This window comes from Homo sapiens, chromosome 11 (assembly GCF_000001405.40).
Source record: "Homo sapiens chromosome 11, GRCh38.p14 Primary Assembly".
NCBI lineage: Eukaryota > Metazoa > Chordata > Mammalia > Primates > Hominidae > Homo > Homo sapiens.
This window is the reverse complement of record NC_000011.10, coordinates 31,804,815-31,823,010: the sequence shown is the minus strand read 5'-3', so window position 1 is coordinate 31,823,010 and position 18,196 is coordinate 31,804,815. Positions and strand designations below refer to the sequence as shown.

At 56.2% G+C, this 18,196-nt stretch overlaps 1 protein-coding gene and 1 long non-coding RNA gene across 44 annotated transcripts in view, besides 13 other annotated features; one reads left to right on the top strand and one right to left on the bottom strand.

Moving 5' to 3' along the window:
- PAX6-AS1 (PAX6 antisense RNA 1) overlaps positions 1 to 6,445 on the bottom strand; it is a 70,476-nt gene extending 64,031 nt beyond the window's left edge. Inside the window, exon 1 of the long non-coding RNA NR_033971.1 lies at positions 6,372 to 6,445. This is a non-coding gene — a long non-coding RNA (PAX6 antisense RNA 1). The remainder of the gene's footprint in view (positions 1 to 6,371) is intronic.
- Positions 1 to 12,123: part of a biological region, named in NCBI's record as "PAX6 upstream regulatory region", that runs on past the window's edge. NCBI's record gives its function as "regulatory_interactions: LOC105980003 | LOC105980005 | LOC105980073 | LOC106007493 | PAX6 | PAX6DRR".
- Positions 1,063 to 1,218: an enhancer, noted in NCBI's record as "HETK fragment". NCBI's record gives the evidence for it as "EXISTENCE:reporter gene assay evidence [ECO:0000049][PMID:10079359]".
- Positions 4,374 to 5,133: an enhancer, noted in NCBI's record as "H3K4me1 hESC enhancer chr11:31839426-31840185 (GRCh37/hg19 assembly coordinates)". NCBI's record gives its function as "activates a minimal SCP1, AML or CMV promoter by ChIP-STARR-seq in naive and primed H9 embryonic stem cells {active_cell/tissue: H9 hESC(naive and primed)}" and the evidence as "EXISTENCE:reporter gene assay evidence [ECO:0000049][PMID:30033119]".
- Positions 4,936 to 5,208: a promoter, noted in NCBI's record as "pSpB fragment for P0/A promoter". NCBI's record gives its function as "drives PAX6 transcription" and the evidence as "EXISTENCE:reporter gene assay evidence [ECO:0000049][PMID:9757029, PMID:10079359]".
- The window catches only part of PAX6 (paired box 6), a 28,936-nt gene continuing 15,789 nt past the window's right edge, over positions 5,050 to 18,196 (top strand). For 11 of the 43 annotated variants that reach the window (NR_160916.2, NM_001368904.2, NM_001368928.2 and 8 more), the window contains exons 1-3: positions 11,890 to 12,183; positions 16,086 to 16,162; positions 16,549 to 16,609. Coding sequence is in view for 36 of the 43 variants with exons in the window: in NM_001368928.2 (NP_001355857.1) it covers positions 16,600 to 16,609 (10 nt within the window). In the remaining 7 variants the exon portion in view is untranslated. Of the gene's footprint in view, positions 5,203 to 10,290; positions 10,440 to 10,807; positions 10,919 to 10,972; positions 11,204 to 11,688; positions 12,184 to 13,051; positions 13,106 to 15,388; positions 15,722 to 16,085; positions 16,163 to 16,548; positions 16,610 to 17,009; positions 17,623 to 17,969; positions 18,154 to 18,196 lie in introns of those variants that run through there. The other 32 variants (NR_160917.2, NM_001127612.3, NM_001368921.2 and 29 more) reach the window with 15 other exon arrangements.
- Positions 6,655 to 7,416: an enhancer, noted in NCBI's record as "H3K27ac-H3K4me1 hESC enhancer chr11:31837143-31837904 (GRCh37/hg19 assembly coordinates)". NCBI's record gives its function as "activates a minimal SCP1, AML or CMV promoter by ChIP-STARR-seq in naive H9 embryonic stem cells {active_cell/tissue: H9 hESC(naive)}" and the evidence as "EXISTENCE:reporter gene assay evidence [ECO:0000049][PMID:30033119]".
- Positions 8,380 to 8,634: a silencer, noted in NCBI's record as "SX250 fragment". NCBI's record gives its function as "repressor of transcription" and the evidence as "EXISTENCE:reporter gene assay evidence [ECO:0000049][PMID:9013587]".
- Positions 9,478 to 10,446: an enhancer, noted in NCBI's record as "H3K27ac-H3K4me1 hESC enhancer chr11:31834113-31835081 (GRCh37/hg19 assembly coordinates)". NCBI's record gives its function as "activates a minimal SCP1, AML or CMV promoter by ChIP-STARR-seq in primed H9 embryonic stem cells {active_cell/tissue: H9 hESC(primed)}" and the evidence as "EXISTENCE:reporter gene assay evidence [ECO:0000049][PMID:30033119]".
- Positions 11,497 to 11,906: a promoter, noted in NCBI's record as "pSP fragment for P1/B promoter". NCBI's record gives its function as "drives PAX6 transcription" and the evidence as "EXISTENCE:reporter gene assay evidence [ECO:0000049][PMID:9013587, PMID:9757029, PMID:17251190]".
- Positions 11,554 to 12,123: an enhancer, noted in NCBI's record as "OCT4-NANOG hESC enhancer chr11:31832436-31833005 (GRCh37/hg19 assembly coordinates)". NCBI's record gives its function as "activates a minimal SCP1, AML or CMV promoter by ChIP-STARR-seq in naive H9 embryonic stem cells {active_cell/tissue: H9 hESC(naive)}" and the evidence as "EXISTENCE:reporter gene assay evidence [ECO:0000049][PMID:30033119]".
- Positions 11,696 to 11,714: a protein binding site. NCBI's record gives its function as "autoregulation of PAX6 P1 promoter" and the evidence as "EXISTENCE:protein binding evidence [ECO:0000024][PMID:17251190]".
- Positions 11,794 to 11,851: an enhancer, noted in NCBI's record as "E1E". NCBI's record gives the evidence for it as "EXISTENCE:reporter gene assay evidence [ECO:0000049][PMID:9013587, PMID:11574690]".
- Positions 11,818 to 11,833: a protein binding site, noted in NCBI's record as "EIE3 binding site". NCBI's record gives the evidence for it as "EXISTENCE:protein binding evidence [ECO:0000024][PMID:11574690]".
- Positions 16,815 to 17,484: an enhancer, noted in NCBI's record as "H3K4me1 hESC enhancer chr11:31827075-31827744 (GRCh37/hg19 assembly coordinates)". NCBI's record gives its function as "activates a minimal SCP1, AML or CMV promoter by ChIP-STARR-seq in naive H9 embryonic stem cells {active_cell/tissue: H9 hESC(naive)}" and the evidence as "EXISTENCE:reporter gene assay evidence [ECO:0000049][PMID:30033119]".

Sequence of the window (18,196 nt, the reverse complement as noted above, 5' to 3'; positions counted from 1 at the left end):
GCCCACAGGATGTGGCCATTGTTGATATGTTGTGTCCAGCAGCTCAGATTTTCCTATGAGGGCAAGACATTGGAGCGCAAAAGGGGGAGCCTCTGCCCTCTATCTCTTACTCCTTACATAGGACTCCAGGAGACAGAGCAGGACTTGTCCTTCCAGACCTGGGCCCAGGCCTCGCCCAGCCTCTCCCTTGATCTGGGAGCTTTGCTTCCATGAAGAAAGGGTGCTGGACCTGTGAACTGGGGCTCCTAGCAAAAGAAGCAGCTGCACTTAGCCTATCACACTCTCACCCACCTTACGGAGCCCCGGGCCTACAGGCTGGCCATGCAAACCTGGGTGCCCTCCGGCTTGCCAGAATGGGAGAACAGAGCCAGAGAGGCCTGGATGCCCAAGCCCGGATGCCCAAACCCTTGGCACTGGGGGGGGGGGTCCCTGCACCCCACGCGTGTTTACGTCAGTGCCCCCTTATCTTATATGTAACAGCAATATATATGTTAATTGAAAACTTCTGAATTTAAAAAGGTTGTGACAAGTTATAATTTGTCCTGTCAATGCCTGGAATCCTTATTTATCTCTTTAGCTTGCCTCCCGCTCGCGCCTGTCAGCTAACAGCTTGCCTAACTCGTTGACTTCCTCACTCATGGCACGGAAATGACAAATGTGCTGTTTTATCCGTACAATTTATTTCATTATTGTTGCCAGCACGAAGCATCACAATCAATCATAAGGAAGTCCAGTTGGCAGGTGTCAATCTTGGTGTGTTTTTGTACGTCTCAGTCTATATTTAATCCAATTATAAGGGTCACGGAGTAAGTGCCAATCCTCTTGTTACAACTCACATCTTATTTAAGATTTAAAGTAAAAAAGTCAACTCGATCACATGGACCTTTTGGGGGAAGGGAGGGGACTCAGTTGAAACCCCCTCATCTCCCTCTCTCAGCCTTCCCCTGGCCTCCAATTTAAATTATGCAGCAATCCTTTTTTATTAAAGGGTTGCAGGGAATCCGAGTTTTATGAGCATTTGTGTGCAAATGAAGGCTCTCCTTATTTTGCTAAAGTAGAAGCAAGCTTAATGATGAGAGATCTTTCCGCTCATTGCCCATTCAAATACAATTGTAGATCGAAGCCGGCCTTGTCACGTTGAGAAAAAGTGAATTTCTAACATCCAGGACGTGCCTGTCTACTTTCAGTGAATTGCATCCAATCACCCCCAGGGAATTCAGCTAATGTCTCCATCTCTACCCGGACAAGGGAGAGAAAGAAATCAAACATGGTGCCACAAACTGACTTAATATGAAAATGTTTAAAAGGAAAGAAAAAGCAGAGTTTTCTCAAATTGATTGTTGTAGAGTTTTTTGTTTTGTTTTGTTTGTTTGTTTGTTTTTTGTTTGTTTGTTTGTTTGTGACAAAGCTAACTGGAAGGATTGGAGATTTTCCACAGAGGTCCGGGAAAACTTTTTATGGTGTGGCAAAATAGAAGAGAGAAAAAAGTAAAGTAGTTATTTAAATGAGAGCAGGAAAATAAATTAATAGCAGAGAAAACACAGAATTGCACATAATCATGCCATTATGCAATCCTTGAGACCGGGGTGAAGAGATGGCAAATATTATCTTTGCTAAATAGTCCCCTTTTTGACGCTCGAATTCACAAAACTTTCCTTCAATTTTGATTTAAAATAAAAATCTTGTTAAAACAAGTTTTCTGTTTAAAGGGGAGGAAGTGGAGAGGGAAGGAAGAGCAAGAGCCACACGTACTGCCCAGTAAATTAGATTCCTTAGATGATATATTGATTACTGGCTTGTACAGCTATTTGAAATGACACTCAAATAATACACAGTATTTTAAATCAATTATTTAGGGGCTTTTTCCTCTCCTATTAATTTGTATATGGAAAAGCTTTATTAAACCATTTTATAAGTTAGCGCTCACCCTGGAATCCTTTTTTAAAAATATTGTAGAAATTAACAGGATGCATTATCTTCCAGATTGAGTAAAATTAAATTTTAAGAGGAAAATCCATTTTTATTTTATAATTGGTGGGAGACTCAGTGCCTATTCTCAATAAAAAGGCAAATACTAAATCAATTCCCACCCACCTGGTAGCACAGATCCAGCGGTAGGGGCTCCTCCAGTCTGGAAGCGGCTTTATTTGCATAAAGTAGTTAAGGGGAGAGAGGAAAAGCGACAGAGGCCGGGAGGGGAAAACATACCTTCGACAAGAACAACAGTTCAAGCCAAGAGCCGATTTCTCTATCTTTCTCTCTCTCCACTACTTCCCCTACTTCAAGGCCTCTCACGCCCATCCAGGCTCTCCACCCAGCCTCTGCTGGCTGATGGGGAAGCTCTGGGGCCGGGGCTGGCCTGGGAGCCTACGCAGACTGGGCGGCTGCCGAGCTCGCTCACTGTGCGGTGGAGAATCAGAGCCTGGAGCTGCCCTAGGTGTCGGAAATTTGCAGTCTGTGCTACCCCGGGCTGAAGGGAGGCCTGAAAGAAAAGAGGTTTCTTTCCCGCTTCCGGTCCTTTTCACCCCAGCTACAGCCTGCCTCAGGTAGCACTCGGCATTTGGGGCTCTACGAGTCGTCGATGATGCCCCCGGGCCGCCCGCGGTGCCCTTCTTCCCGCAATGCGAGCCAGTGTGGCCTAGAGAGGATGCCTCTGCCAGGGAGAGGCGAGGTGGGACCTCGTAGGCTGGGCACCACACGGGGCCCTGCCCAGCTTCCTCCAAGGCTGGTGGCAGGCGCGGAGAGGAGCCCCCAGCACTAGATTTCTGGTAGGGTCTCCAGAGTGCTCCGAGGTCGAGCGCTTCTCCAAGAATCCAGCTGAGGCAGCGGCTAAACCCGCACCTTCTCCCTCGGCGACCCCAGAGCCGGCTCCCTCCCTCCCAGCCTCCTTGCCCGGGACAAATGGAGAGCGGCTCGTGCGTTGGCCCGGAGCTCGGAAGGGCCTAGTTCGGGCCTCGCCTGCACCACCGGCGCTCCCGCGCAGCCCGAACGCGCCCTTTATTGACAGGCAGATAAGCAGGCGGGGGCCGTGGCGTTTCCAGAGTCGCTCTCGAGCACCCTGCTGGGTTGCAGGGATTTGCGCACACTTAATGGCCTGGACTCCAAACAAGCCCATAACAGCCCTCTCGGCGGCCTAGGGTTGGTACAGTGTGGGGAGCGAGACCCGGACAGAAACTGGCCAGCTAGGAAGGCCTACACAGGTCCGAGGCCTATCCGCAGCCCACACGCCAAGGCGGACGGCGGAGTCTGGGAGACCTCAGGACATCTGAGGCTGGAGGCTGGGCCAGGTCCTGGAGGGGAGCTAGGGGCTTACCAAGAAACTAGGTCACTGGAGATGGCCGACGGCGACAGGGAAACCAGAACAAATGCCTCTCTTAGCATCCCTTCCCAGCCGAGCAGGGCGACAGGACCATGGTAAGGTCTAGGCCCAGACTAGAGTGGCCAGTGGGAGGTGGGCGCTCCTAGGCCTTAACACAGGATGCCCAGGGCGTTAGGAAGAAGAAAGAAAGTTTGGAGAATGTTTGTAAATAAGTAAGAACATCCTGCGGAAACTTCTCAGCCAAAGCTCCCATTCTCCTCCCCACCTTCACCGCCACCCCCACCTCTACCCCTACCCCCACTCCCACCCCTACTCTGCCCTCCAGTCCTCGACGGGCTGAGCAAGACAAAAAATCAAGTCCAGCTAGGAGCTGTCCGGGCTAAGAGGAGTGGGCAGACGGGCTGCCTGGAGCTGCCTCCTGGCCGGTTGCGAGGCCCGGCACCTGTCCAGGTGTGCCAGGGGCGGGAGCGGGAATCACTAGACCTCCGCCTCGGCGCCATCTGTGCTCGGCTCTCCCTTAGCCGCCGCCCGGATCAAGGCGCGCAGGGACTGGCCCTAGGACCCTCCTCCGGCCCAGGCGTCCCCCTCCCTGCTTCTACACACACACTCCCGGGTCCACCCAGGCTGGGTCTCCACGAGCTGCCTAAAGGAAATTCCACGCCCCGCCCCTTCCTCTCCCGCAAACTCCTCAAGTGACCCCTGCCCCTCCGGGCCCCACCACTGTCACTTTCAAATTGGAGAGCCAGATGGAAGCATAGGGGAAGGAGTTGAGAAGCTTCCTGTTTTGAGGGATGAGGGACGGGAATGACAACGAGGGTCTAAATCTCCATTCCAAGATAGCCAGGCCTAGCTCCGCTAAGCCATCTCGCAGTCCACAGAAGGTGTGAGGGAAAAACAGGCACAGACCAGCAAGTCAGTGTCCTGCAGACCCCGCCCCAATTTCTATGAGTATTGACTTCAGAATCTGGGATTTTCCTGTTTTCCTCCTCTAAGTCACAAAGTCAACAGTTAATTCAAAGTCAAAGATAAATACAATCACCTACATTTTCTAATGTGGTTGGAGCCTTTCAGCCAGAGGGCGAGGGAAGCCCGGGTAGGCCCCCTTTAGGGCTTCCCTCTTGAGAACCCAGCAGGCCTGGAGAGACCTTTGGCCTAGGCCCTGAAAAAGGGGTCGCATGTCCTCTTCCCGGAGCCCCCGTCTGTGCCCAGCTAGTGACTTGCGGGCTCGAGGGCCAGGTTGAGGGTACTCATCGAGCCTCGAACTCCTCCTAAAAATGATTCCTGCCAAAAGCGCCTCTCCATCCCGGCGCGGCCTTCGGGTCTCTCCGATGAAGGGACTCCCTTGGGGATCGGAGGAGGGGACAGGGTGATTACCCAGAGAGGTAGCTGGCCAGCCTAAGGGCAGAGATCTTGGGGCCCTAGTGCCCGAAGGTGCGGAGGAGCGCACTCGGCAAGACTAGTTTCCTGGGGATCGACTCTACGCCATACAGGACGGCGGCCCAGGCTGGACCGGGCCGGGCTAGAGCAGTCACAGGCCGGGCCAAGGAAGGCCAAAGCAGGGGTTGGAGCCGGCCGGACCCTGGGTGGGGAGAAGCAGGCTCCCGCCCGGCCGGAAAACTAGTCGGCGCAGAGCTGTGCCCAACTCTAGCCGCCATGACGTCACGCGGGCCGGGCAGCCAATGAGGACGGCGCTGGCGTGGATATTAAGGAAAGTTAGCGCCTGCCTGAGCACCCTCTTTTCTTATCATTGACATTTAAACTCTGGGGCAGGTCCTCGCGTAGAACGCGGCTGTCAGATCTGCCACTTCCCCTGCCGAGCGGCGGTGAGAAGTGTGGGAACCGGCGCTGCCAGGCTCACCTGCCTCCCCGCCCTCCGCTCCCAGGTAACCGCCCGGGCTCCGGCCCCGGCCCGGCTCGGGGCCCGCGGGGCCTCTCCGCTGCCAGCGACTGCTGTCCCCAAATCAAAGCCCGCCCCAAGTGGCCCCGGGGCTTGATTTTTGCTTTTAAAAGGAGGCATACAAAGATGGAAGCGAGTTACTGAGGGAGGGATAGGAAGGGGGGTGGAGGAGGGACTTGTCTTTGCCGAGTGTGCTCTTCTGCAAAAGTAGCAAAATGTTCCACTCCTAAGAGTGGACTTCCAGTCCGGCCCTGAGCTGGGAGTAGGGGGCGGGAGTCTGCTGCTGCTGTCTGCTAAAGCCACTCGCGACCGCGAAAAATGCAGGAGGTGGGGACGCACTTTGCATCCAGACCTCCTCTGCATCGCAGTTCACGACATCCACGCTTGGGAAAGTCCGTACCCGCGCCTGGAGCGCTTAAAGACACCCTGCCGCGGGTCGGGCGAGGTGCAGCAGAAGTTTCCCGCGGTTGCAAAGTGCAGATGGCTGGACCGCAACAAAGTCTAGAGATGGGGTTCGTTTCTCAGAAAGACGCGGAGTACGAAAGAATGCGGCCGACAGAGCTGGGCAGCGCGTAAAGCTCCCAGCGTGTGATTTGAGCTTCACTTCGGAAGACCTAATAATTAGCGATTCTCACTGAGCTAGAACGCGGGCTCCGGTTACTGCGGGCGCTGCGCTGGCTGCCTCGGCGGGAAGCGCGCGGGCGCCATGGGAGCCGGGCCGCCAAGCCCGGGAAAGAGAAGCGCCCACCACCCTGCGGCCCTTGGAGGGCCAGAGCCGGGGCCCGGAAGTGTCCCCTTAGTGAGTCAGGGAAGGGACGACCCAAACTTAGACTAACTTGTGGTTCAGCCGGGCGAAAGTCCTGGGAGCCCGGCCCTAAAAGCAGCTGGAGACGCCCAGGCCGGCTTAGGCGGGGCACCCAAGAACCCCGCCCGGGAGTTTGGGGCGGCCTCTGGGCCAGGCCCCGGCTAGCCCCCAACCCCCACTCCCACTCGCGCTCCTGCGCCCCCTTTCTAGGTCTTCTGGGAGCACCTTCGGAGCTCAGTCACCTGTGACAGGTGTTGGGACCTCCGCCCGACTCCGAGCGGTGGCGCCCCCTGCTCACCTCACCTGGAAACGGGGGACGAGCGCAGTGGCAGTCCGGCCGCACGCCTTACCTGGGCCGGGATCCTCTCCTCCGCGGGTTCCTCTCCCTGGAGCTGGGCGGCGAGCAGGTCGCCTGCTTCGCAGTGGGAAGTGGACCTTCTCCTCCAGTCATAAATCAAACCCAGCCATCCTCGGGCCTCCTCCCTCATTAGAGATGTTTATTGGAGATCGTGTTTATTCGGCTGTCACGGCGAGAAAACGCGGTGACATAATTACCTCTGACCAGAGTCCTCGCTCCGCGCCCAGGGCGAGCCGAGGACCTCCTCTGTCGCCTTCTCATGCCCGTGCCCTTCGTGATCGGAGGGCGCCCGTGATAGGCTTGTCTTTTTTTCCTCAGACCCTCTCATAGAATTTGGATGACTGGAATTACTATTCAGATTTCCCCAGGGCCCGGAGTTTATTTATTTATTTTAGAATTGGAAAGGAAAACCGAAGGGAACCCAACGCCCCTCCGGGGCAGAAGGGGGCAGCGCGCGCGAGGCGGAAGGACAGTCACTCTCGCTGCACAAACTTTCCCGCGGGCCGCGCCGCGCGTGCAGGGGCTGGACGCCACCCGGCGCCAGAGCCGGGCCTGAGGAGCGGGGTCTGGCCGGGAACGAGGGCTGCCAGCCTGGGTGGTGTCATTTGTTGCTTCATTTTTCATTCCCTTTCCTCTCGTGAGGAATCAGAGGCATCGGGCCGCGCGGGCTGAGAATTCTTAAATTCTCCCCGGCCGCATTCGGCTGAGCCAACCCGCAGTTCCTGTCAGCCCCTCTGTCCCCCGGGCAGCGGTTTTCCCCGCTAGCCAGGTTTGGAAGTCACCCTCTGTGAGACTGGGTTAGGAAGTGACGAAAAGCGCCGAATTGTTTTCAAATTGAAAATACTTTTTTTTTTTTTTTTGGAGATAGCGCTGACAAATATATGGGATCCCGGCTTTTGATCCCTGGCTGCCGCCTCTGTTCTCCTGTCGCTAATAAAACTCGCATTGAGCCCCTTAGTGCCTTGATTAACAGGCAGATTAACTCTTACTGGGGTTGGGAACAGCTTGTCCTAATCAATGTCATTTTAAAAGCCCGTCAGGATGCGCTTAGCTTCGGTTCCCTGGATGCTTGAGCGAGCCAGCCATGACATTTGCTCCCTCCCCCTCCCCAGCCTCAAATCCCCCAGTAAAGCCCCCAGTTCCCGCCTGCCTGTTCCCAGGTCTACAACGGGACAAATCGCAGGACCGGGTCGTTGGCCTTTAGAATAGGCAGCGGTTTAGAGAGGGGATATCCAGGGAGAAGGGACTGAGGTGGCCTTGACTTGCTTGCTTTTCCTTTGAAGCTGAACTCTTGCCTCTTGGGGGCAGAGGTTACAGGGAAAAGAGAGATGGGGGGATCGTCACAGGGTGATGAAATGGAAAGCAAACTTTTCTAGGAACCCTATTTGCAAAAATCGGAGAGTGCCGCTGATTTCAGTTGTCCTACATGTCAGGAGTTTTAAACCTAACTCCTATCTGGACAACAGCATGGAGGGACTGGGAGGCAAAGCCTTGGGAGTCTGACCCGCTGGGCTGCTAGGAATCCCTTTGCTGGGAGACTCCACTGGACAATGTTATTTTAAAGGTATTTTGGGGGTGGGCAGGGAGAAGACAGAGAGAGAAAGAGAGAGAGAGAGAGAGAGAGAGAGAGAGAGAGAGAGACAGGCTGGCCTCCCAGAGCGAACGGAAGAGGACTGAGGACTGAACCCAGGGAGCCCCTAGCACTGGCCATTTGGCAGGAGGCGAGGAAGGGCGAGGGCACCGCGGCTTCCCCCCAAGCCGAGCAGTGGCCACAGCCTGAAGGTGCCACGGGGCGGCTCTGGGATCTTCTTGGCTTTTCTAGGCTCTGGGCTCGGCGAGGCTGCCGGGTTAGCGGGAACCGGCAGGTTGCTGGAGAAAGGAGAGGGACAAAGGCCTGGAAGTGGGGGAGGCACCAGGGACTGGGCGGCCGGGATGGGAGCCTTTGCCTTTAGGGCTCACTGGACCCGTTTGCCAGCTCCGCGGACAAGGGATCCCACCTTCCCAGGGTCTGCAAAAAGAGAGACGTTTGGGGCACTACAAAGTGACGCAGGTGTCTGCCAAGACTTTCCTTCTCCAAAAAATGCCAGTCTTCACCCTTTCCAGCGCGCCGGCGCTGCGCCTCTGCTTGACCGGGGAAAGAGAGAGTTTGGAGGTGTCAGAACTGTCAGAACTCCGGATGGGAGGCTCTTGGTTCTGAAGCTGGGAGCTGGAGGCACTTCCCCCCAGAAGTGGGCACTTCTTTGCCTCCCCGAAGGCCTGATGGGGTGGGCACAGGGGAATGCCAGGGATCGGTGCGGGTGAGATGCTTGCCTCACCTCATGTTGACGCATCAATACTGGCTAGAAGCTCTGGGCAGGCTCTGGCGAGCCACGGTCCCCCAGCGGGACTCCCTCCACGCAGACAGCCCCGCTACCGGGTGGGACGACCCCGGCGGCCCCCGCGGGAACGCACCCGCCGGCCTGAGAGGTCCTCCCTCTGGCCACAGGGGGCGGAGGGTAGGGGGGAACAGGGGCCTGTGGGGAGGCGGGGAAAGGAGACAGAACCTAAAGCGCAATCCCCGCCGCCCCCCCGCGTCTTGGAGGGCAGCAAGTGGGCCTCGGGCGTGTTGGTAGCCGCAATTAAAATGGCGACCTGCGAGTTGTCTCGGTTTTGTACACACCTCTGGCAACCGCGCCCGCACCTCAGTCTCGGCCCCCACACCCCTAGGCCGCTTCGCCCCCAGAGCCGGTACTTGGCAGAGGGAGTGAGGCTCCCCACGAGGTAGAACAGCACCCCCACCTTCCTTGAGACCAGTCCAGAGAGAACGAGGAAATCTCACTCTCACCCCTCTCTCCTTAAACTTTGAAAACTCGGCCTCATTCTGGGGTTGAACTCCCCTCCCCAAATATTGACACATGGGAAGCAGCCAAGTCCTTTTTGTTTTTTGTTTGTGCGGAGGAGTTTCCAGGAGTCTTTCCCGGAGCCCCCTTCCCCACCCAATGACGTCAGTGGCATTCACTCCTCGCTCCTTGCCTTTTCTGATTTTTTGTTAAAACTTTTCTCCGCAGCGAGATGGGGGTTGGAGGGGTGGGAGAAGGAGCTGATTCAAAGAGCCAGTGCCCTGGGGGGAAATAGCAACAAGATTACGGCTGCTTCTTTCCGAGGCAAAGCTTAAGAAGGTGCTAATCCACTCGGTCGCTAATTGAGAGGTTGTAAAAATGATACTCGCCTCCAGTTCGGACAGAATCACTTCCCCCCCCCCCGCCCCCCCGCAAGTCCCTCGCTCATGCACAGCGGACTTGAGTCTTGAGTCCAAGCTTCTTTAATGCTCGCTTGGAAAGTAAAAGGAGAGAGAAAGAGAAAGCCGACTTTCGCTGGTCTGGGACTCAGGGCCGCGGCCCCACTTGCCGGCATCCTCCGAAAGTCGCGCTCCTGCGAAATGAAACCTCGCCCAGGAGGCCGCGGACCTGGACACCCGGCGCCACCTCCTTCACCTCTGACCCAGGTTTCCTCCCGGCGCTGCGAGCTCCCGGGGAAGGGTTAGAGCCGGCAGCCCTCCCCAGCCCGGGGAGGGGAGAGGGTTATGCGACCCCACCTCTGGCTAGGGCCGGGGAGGCCTTTGCTTCCCGGGAGCCCTGCCCGGGCTCCTTGGTCGCAGGGCTGCTGGGTCCCAGGCAGGAACGAGAGGGTGAGGCCCACATGTGGCCCGGCGGCCCAGGGCGGCTTGCAGCGTCCTCACTGTCCCGGCTGCCAGGGGCTGCGGCGACGCGGCCAGTCAGCAGCGAGTTCAGGTCGCGCAGATTTTATTGATGAGCTCTGACTTTCAGCACTTTCCCTAAGTCAAGAAGAGTCTAGCGTACCCTTCGGCTGCTTCATTTCAGCCTCCCTGCCTCAGCTCTTCAGCCCTATTCCCCCTCGCCCTGTCCTGGGGTGTGTACAGCAGCCCAGGCCTTCCTTCTCCTTCCCGGCTCCGTGGCCCGAAGCCGCCGAGAGAGCTCGGGACAGCGCAGGACCAGGCAGCCGCTCGCTCTCCTGTCACCTTAACTGCAGGCTCCGAGGGGCGCCTTTGGAGTGTACTGAGGTGTGTCCTAATCGTGCGGCATTCAACAAATGGACTTCTGGTGTGTGGTCAGAAGAGAAAAGCCATTTACTTACTTTCCTCCCCGGTTTTCTGGCAACAGCTGAAGGGGAGCTGCCTCCGTGGACTGAGCAGACCCAGGAGAGGGAGTCGTGGTGCGGAGACACACGCACCACACACAGATGACCGGTGGCACACACGACACACGCTGACATACCGACATCGCCAGTGGGACACACACACACACACACACACACACACACACACACACAGAGAGAGAGAGAGAATCCCTCCCAGCATTGGTCATCCGCCCCCCCACCCAGGCTTCCACTCCCCCTCCCCTCTTATCTCCCCTGGCTTCCCCTCCTCTCGGGCGCTGCGAAAAGCAGCCGCACTTAGTCAACAAATGGCACGTGGGAGAAGTTGGTGAGTGTTTGGTGAGGACTCTTCAGGGCTTTTCACAAGAACCCTCTGTACACAAAGTAAGTGGCGTGTTTACTCGGGCCTCTCCAGCCAGAGCTGTGCCTCTGCTCCGCTGCGCACCGCGGCTTCCGAAAGGAGAAAGGAGAGAAGAAAGGGCGGGGAGAGCGGGGTGGAGGATTTGGACAGGCCCTGGAGGCTTGGGCTGGGGAGGCCTCTGGCCTCGTTTAGTTCTCGGCCCGGCAACCTCCTCTCGGCCTAGGCTTCGCCGCGGCCTCCGCAGCTGGAATGGAGCTGCCAGGACCCAGTGACGCTCCCGCCCCTTTCCTCTTCTTCCAAGGGGCCAGGTGGGCTGGGGTGCGGCCGCCGCTGTGCTCTGTGTCTTGGGGCCCCGGCTGGGATGGGGTGGGGGCGGGCGGGGGCGGGGCGGCAGGCCACGCTGTCCTGGAGTTGGCAAGAAAGGACAGCACAGAAACTTGCACCCTCCGAGGACTGGGAGTCCCGAGTCCAGCTTAGGGGGAGTGGGGGCGCGACCCCCAACCCAGAAACCTTCACTTGACCGCTCAAGTTCGCGGCAGCAGGGCGGGCCGCGCCGAATCTCGGCGTGCGCGGAGCGGGGAGATGCAGGCGAGCGCCAGAGCCCGGGCTCGGGGGCCCTGCGCCGGGGAGAGGAGCCGGGACCCACCGGCGGAGCCGAAAACAAGTGTATTCATATTCAAACAAACGGACCAATTGCACCAGGCGGGGAGAGGGAGCATCCAATCGGCTGGCGCGAGGCCCCGGCGCTGCTTTGCATAAAGCAATATTTTGTGTGAGAGCGAGCGGTGCATTTGCATGTTGCGGAGTGATTAGTGGGTTTGAAAAGGGAACCGTGGCTCGGCCTCATTTCCCGCTCTGGTTCAGGCGCAGGAGGAAGTGTTTTGCTGGAGGATGATGACAGAGGTCAGGCTTCGCTAATGGGCCAGTGAGGAGCGGTGGAGGCGAGGCCGGGCGCCGGCACACACACATTAACACACTTGAGCCATCACCAATCAGCATAGGTGTGCTGGCTGCAGCCACTTCCCTCACCCACACTCTTTATCTCTCACTCTCCAGCCGCTGACAGCCCATTTTATTGTCAATCTCTGTCTCCTTCCCAGGAATCTGAGAATTGCTCTCACACACCAACCCAGCAACATCCGTGGAGAAAACTCTCACCAGCAACTCCTTTAAAACACCGTCATTTCAAACCATTGTGGTCTTCAAGCAACAACAGCAGCACAAAAAACCCCAACCAAACAAAACTCTTGACAGAAGCTGTGACAACCAGAAAGGATGCCTCATAAAGGTGAGTCCGCTTCTTTCTTCTCGCTTTATTTTTATTGCAATATTCAGACAGGTCTCCCCCTTCCTCCCCCCTTCCTTCCTCCCCTCTCGCCGGTCCCCTCCCCCACTGCTACGCCGGGAGAGTTGGGCCGGAGAAGTTTCCACGCAGGAGCCCAAACTTTCTACTTCCAGCGAAAGCCCGCGTCGGAGGGCGACTGCCGGCGAGCGGGAGCGGCGCAGGGCTCGGGGCGGGCGGCCAGCTCAGCCCCAGCGCCAGCGCCAGCGCCAGCGCGGGCTGAGCTCGCGGGAAGAAGGGAGACTCCAGGCGCGACAGCAGCCGCGGCTCCTAGCCCCAGCGTCGCCCAATGCTCCCGACCCGCGGGAAAAGACGAAGAGGCTCTGTGGTGCCCAAGGCCCTGGAACGGCCGCAGAGAGCAACCGCTGCCGGCTGCTTTGTCCAGCCCGAGGCCCAGCGAACGCGCAGAGAGCGGGCGCTCCGAGGACTCGCCGAGGGAGCGCCGAGGGAACCTGCTCGCCGCGTCTCCGCCCGCCCGCCGGCCCTCGGGCTTTGTGCCGCACTGGGCTCCGGCGCAGAAGAGTCAGCCGGCACTCGAGCGCCGAGGGGGGCACCGCGCCCGCCACCAGCCCGAGTGGAGTCAGTCGGCAAGGCAGCCGCACGCTGGAGGTAGAGGGAAGAGCGAGCTAGCGCGAGCCGGGAAGGAAGCCACCAGGCCAAGGCGGTGGAACGCGCGCTCCGAGGGAGCTCAGAGCCGAGCGGGAGGACTGTCAGCTTCCACCCAGCCCCCGGGCTCTTGCCCCCAACTCCACTGGAGCGCTGAGCTCGGAACTTGAAAACTCTCTGCTCCCCAGGCTTCCCCCGACTCTCATCTCCCTTGCCTTGCGGAGGCTGGGGCTCTTCCCTGTTCTCCGGCCCCCTGCGCTTGGTGGGTATTTTTCCTTGTTTTCCTCTGATCCAGTCTCACCAGGTGTTGGGATTTCAGCAAGTTTTGAGGTGCAGAGTTGGTTTGCTTTTTTGTTTGTTTTACTCCGAATCCCCTTATGTTTTTCTTGGTAAGGCCTTGAAAATAAATCTGTATGAAAGCATTGGCCTTCCCCCTCGTCTGATCACTTCTTCTCCCGGCTAATTAGTCGGAGTAATTTGAGAGCTTTCGATTCTAAGATCCCAGGAGGAAAAGTGTCTTTTCAAAGTTCATAAAGTTGTTGCCTCTTTCCTTGTGCAGATTTTCTCAGTCTCCCTGCGCCATAATAGCCCTGAATTTTAGCAAGTGTAATTGGGGGAAATGGAGTTGAATTTCAAGTGGAAATGCTTTCTTTTTCGAGTGCTAAAACCTGGCTCTTCATTCATGAGCGATTTCTAGAAAGTTTAAAAACAAAGTGAACGTGGTTTCTTTCTTTCTTCCTTTTTATTTTTCTTATACTCTCCCAAGCTCCCTAAGCCATTCTGGACGTTTAACTCGAACTTGGGAAGGTTTTAGAAGGGGCTGGGAGCAGAAAATGAAATGAAAGGCAAAGAGCTTGAGCCTGGCGAGTTTACTGAAGAGAAATAATAGTTGTTGCGGTTGACATTACATTTTTTATAGCCAGTGACCTTTGCAAAAGCGTGAAGGCAGTTTGATTAGTTGTTATCTTATTTGGCCCTAGAGAGTAAAACTTTGTCATCATAATTGCTAATTACTCTTTTGGCTGGGGGCGGGAGGACCGAGAGCTCTCCCCTTTACCTCAGTTAAAGAGTTTGGGGATGGAATTTGAGAATTAAGTAATTAAAAAAAGAACAGCATTTGAAAACTGAGGCTTGTGTTGGGGACAGAGAGGTGGGGGCAGTGACCACTCTCTTGTGGTCCAAGGCTGGGGCGACTCCAAAATGTCTGGAGACTCCTTCGTTCAGGATGTGGTTCTATGGCCCCAGCGAGGCCGTACAGAGCCTCGGGCTGAGCTGGGGGGCTGAGGCTGCAGTTGGGGGTCTGACCTCTCCGGTGCACAGGACTGCTTCCGGGTGTCGATGTGCCCCACTTCCCGGGTTGCTTCTGCACTTAGTGTTCACGTTTACTTAAGTAATTAGATAGCTTCTTAGCGAGAGGGAAGTGGGAATGGAGCAGAACTGGAATTTGAAATACTACCACCTTCCCAGCTGCTTCGAAAACTAATCAACGAGGCCTCTTTGTGCTCAGCTACTGAATTTAAAAAAAAATGGTATCAAGAAGTTACAAGCCAGGATGGGAGCATTCTGTTGTGATTGTGCACAGCGTGGGTTACAAAGTGGAGTTCTGGAAGTTTTACCCCTCCTAGGGGAATTCCATTCCCCATCTCCCCACCTACTACTCCTTTGCAGCTTCAGGGTCCTGCATTTGTTGGGGTGGGGTATTTTGCATTAGAGTTGGAGATTTTGCCTATCCAGGGCATGGCTATGGGTGCCGGGACTGAGAGACAGGAAGGAAGCATTGGAGAGCCAACCTAGATAAGGGTAACTAGTAACCCTCTGCTGTGGCCAGTATTTACCCAATGCTGAGAAAAAGTCCTCATTTTCGGTTTATTTTTATGGATTTAAGCTGTCTACCAAGTAGTTAAAAAGTAGACCAGGAATGGCCTTGTAGAGTAAAATGTGCTTCTTGAAATTCTTTGCTTGCAGGCAGGCAGATCAATAATCACCATAGGTAAAACAGAAAAAATAATGCATTTAAAAAAAAACAGAGAGAAATGATGCTGTGACTGTTTTGTTATTTTACCTCTTTTTGGGGGGCAGACCTCTTGAATGGGCTCTTTATTGTAACTCTCTCTTCCCAATTGAGCTCCCCACGGTGCCGTTGTATCTTTTTACAGCCCCTAACAACTCACACCAGTAACACAATTACCTCCAGATATTTACAACAAGAAATTACTTTTCTATTTTCTCCACTCACCCAAAAGACTTTTTTTTTTTTTCCTTTGGGAAAGGTAGGGAGGTGTTCGTACGGGAGCAGCCTCGGGGACCCCTGCACTGGGTCAGGGCTTATGAAGCTAGAAGCGTCCCTCTGTTCCCTTTGTGAGTTGGTGGGTTGTTGGTACATTTGGTTGGAAGCTGTGTTGCTGGTTAGGGAGACTCGGTTTTGCTCCTTGGGTTCGAGGAAAGCTGGAGAATAGAAGCCATTGTTTGCCGTCTGTCGGCTTTGTCGACCACGCTCACCCCCTCCTGTTCGTACTTTTTAAAGCAGTGAGGCGAGGTAGACAGGGTGTGTCACAGTACAGTTAAAGGGGTGAAGATCTAAACGCCAAAAGAGAAGTTAATCACAATAAGTGAGGTTTGGGATAAAAAGTTGGGCTTGCCCCTTTCAAAGTCCCAGAAAGCTGGGAGGTAGATGGAGAGGGGGCCATTGGGAAGTTTTTTTGGTGTAGGGAGAGGAGTAGAAGATAAAGGGTAAGCAGAGTGTTGGGTTCTGGGGGTCTTGTGAAGTTCCTTAAGGAAGGAGGGAGTGTGGCCCTGCAGCCCTCCCAAACTGCTCCAGCCTATGCTCTCCGGCACCAGGAAGTTCCAAGGTTCCCTTCCCCTGGTCTCCAAACTTCAGGTATTCCTCTCCCCTCACACCCCTTCAACCTCAGCTCTTGGCCTCTACTCCTTACTCCACTGTTCCTCCTGTTTCCCCCTTCCCCTTTTCCTGGTTCTTTATATTTTTGCAAAGTGGGATCCGAACTTGCTAGATTTTCCAATTCTCCCAAGCCAGACCAGAGCAGCCTCTTTTAAAGGATGGAGACTTCTGTGGCAGATGCCGCTGAAAATGTGGGTGTAATGCTGGGACTTAGAGTTTGATGACAGTTTGACTGAGCCCTAGATGCATGTGTTTTTCCTGAGAGTGAGGCTCAGAGAGCCCATGGACGTATGCTGTTGAACCACAGCTTGATATACCTTTTTCTCCTTCTGTTTTGTCTTAGGGGGAAGACTTTAACTAGGGGCGCGCAGATGTGTGAGGCCTTTTATTGTGAGAGTGGACAGACATCCGAGATTTCAGGCAAGTTCTGTGGTGGCTGCTTTGGGCTCAAAACCCACAAACAGTCAAAACAAACTATTTCAGTATGCTTCTTCACTATAGTTCAGATAGAAGAAAATAAATCAAAATTGGGGCATCGCTTCTACTGATTAAAGGGTTAACTGCTAAAGAATGTAGGGGAAACAGATTGGGGATATTCCAGTACTTTGTTTCAAGCCCCAAAGGGTAGATTTTGTATGCACTGCAGGGCAGAGCTGAGTGACCCTCAGATCGCCCCAAGAGGTTGAGTGGATCAATTCCTAAAGAACGGAGATTCTCCTGTCCTAGCCCCAGGTCCACCTCGGTTGGGAGTTCAGGCCTACCTGATGCAGCTGCCCGAGGATTAACTCCTATTTTCTTGCTAACAGAGCCCCATATTCGAGCCCCGTGGAATCCCGCGGCCCCCAGCCAGAGCCAGCATGCAGAACAGTAAGTGCCTCTGGTCTTTCTGGGACTTCGGGCTCGGGGTGCGCGGACCCGAGGGTCAGGGGAGGACACAGGGACTCGCGACGCCCGCGCTGGCCCGGCCGCCGACCGACTGAGGCCCGGGGACCTGCGGCGGCTGCTCCCCGCTCCGCGCCCGGCAGCCCGGGAGGGGAGGGCGTTTGCTTGGCTCTTCTCGATACTGGAGAAGCAGGGGCTGGGCCCTTAAGAACAGCCCGCCCGAGTTTTCGAAGCTGCGGTAGAGAAACCCCATCCCCCCCAAATCCTGTAACTCACACCCCCTCTCGCCCCTGCCCGGGCTCTGACCCCGGAGAGAGGGGCTGGGCTGATCAGGGCGGGGCGAAGTCTTCTCCTAGTTGAGCGAGAAGGAGGCCCCTTTGGGCTTAGCCAAGACTGAAAGTCTCCACCAACCCGGCGGGGTTGGGGGCTTCTCTCCCCAAGTCACTCTCAGGGCAGCTCCTCCCCTCCTCACCCCACTACGGGCCTAGAAGGGATGGGGAGAGGAGCCCCCAGGCCTGCAGCAGGGTAGGGGTGGTAAACTCGCTGTTACAGGGCGCGGGAGAGAGCACGGTTTACTGGGTCTGGTAAGGAGGTGCCCAGGAATTGGAAAATCCCTGCCCTGGCAACTGCAATTGCTTGGGTCCTGATAGTCCCAGGCCCAGAGCGCTTTTGATACTTATGGCCCTTGTACCTCCCTGCTTTCCTCTGCCCAGACCCCGTGGGGTCCCACCCACCTTCCTGTTCGTGGTGGGTGCTGGTACGCGGCAGGGCTAGTCTAGAGCTCCGACCTGGGAGCCTGGAGGCCCAGCGAAACCAGGCCCGGTTTGAGGTTACGGTTGAGGCACACGGCGTCGGGGCTCAACTGAACTCAAAGTGTGGAAAGGCCCGGGTCTTCCAGCAGCCTGCCCTGGCCGAACCACACAGGCTTAAGGAGGGTCCCCAGCACCTTATCCATCTGTTTTGGAAACGCCGGTCGCCCCCTGGTGCTTCCGGGGCTGGTAAGCGCGTAGCTGAGGAAAGGGCACAAAGGTGGCGAGCTTTGCGGGAGTAGTTGTGCAGAACCTGCCGGACCCCAGGGCTTGGCCGGTAGGCTCGCCTTCGGCGGCTGGGCTCTCCCCTTGGAGCTCAGACTCCCCAGCCGCAGGCTGTCTCTCGGGCGGGCCCCAGCCAGGGCGCGCAGCCCTGAGCGTTTGTCGCTGCGGCCCGGCTGGCAGGCCCCGAGGGGCGCGGGGTCGCGGGCCGGCCGGCAGGGCTTTGTGCCGCTCGTTCCCGGGTGTGCGCGAGGCGCGGAGCATCCAAATTGACACCATATGTTTTCCTATTAGTTGCTTCGCGGTCGAGTTCTAGGCGCATAATCATCGCCAGTGGGCGAGAGCGCCAGCAGTCCCTAGGGAAGGGACACAATGATTGAGGCTTAACCTCTGAAGGGGAATTTGGAGCTGCGCTTTCTCTCTGCCATTTCGATGCTGGGAGTGGCGCTCTGGCCCTGGCGTCTCCTGGGCAAGCACCAGCCGGCGGTATCTGCGGAGGTGGCTGGCACGTTGTTATTTTTTGAAATGAGTGAGGAGGGAG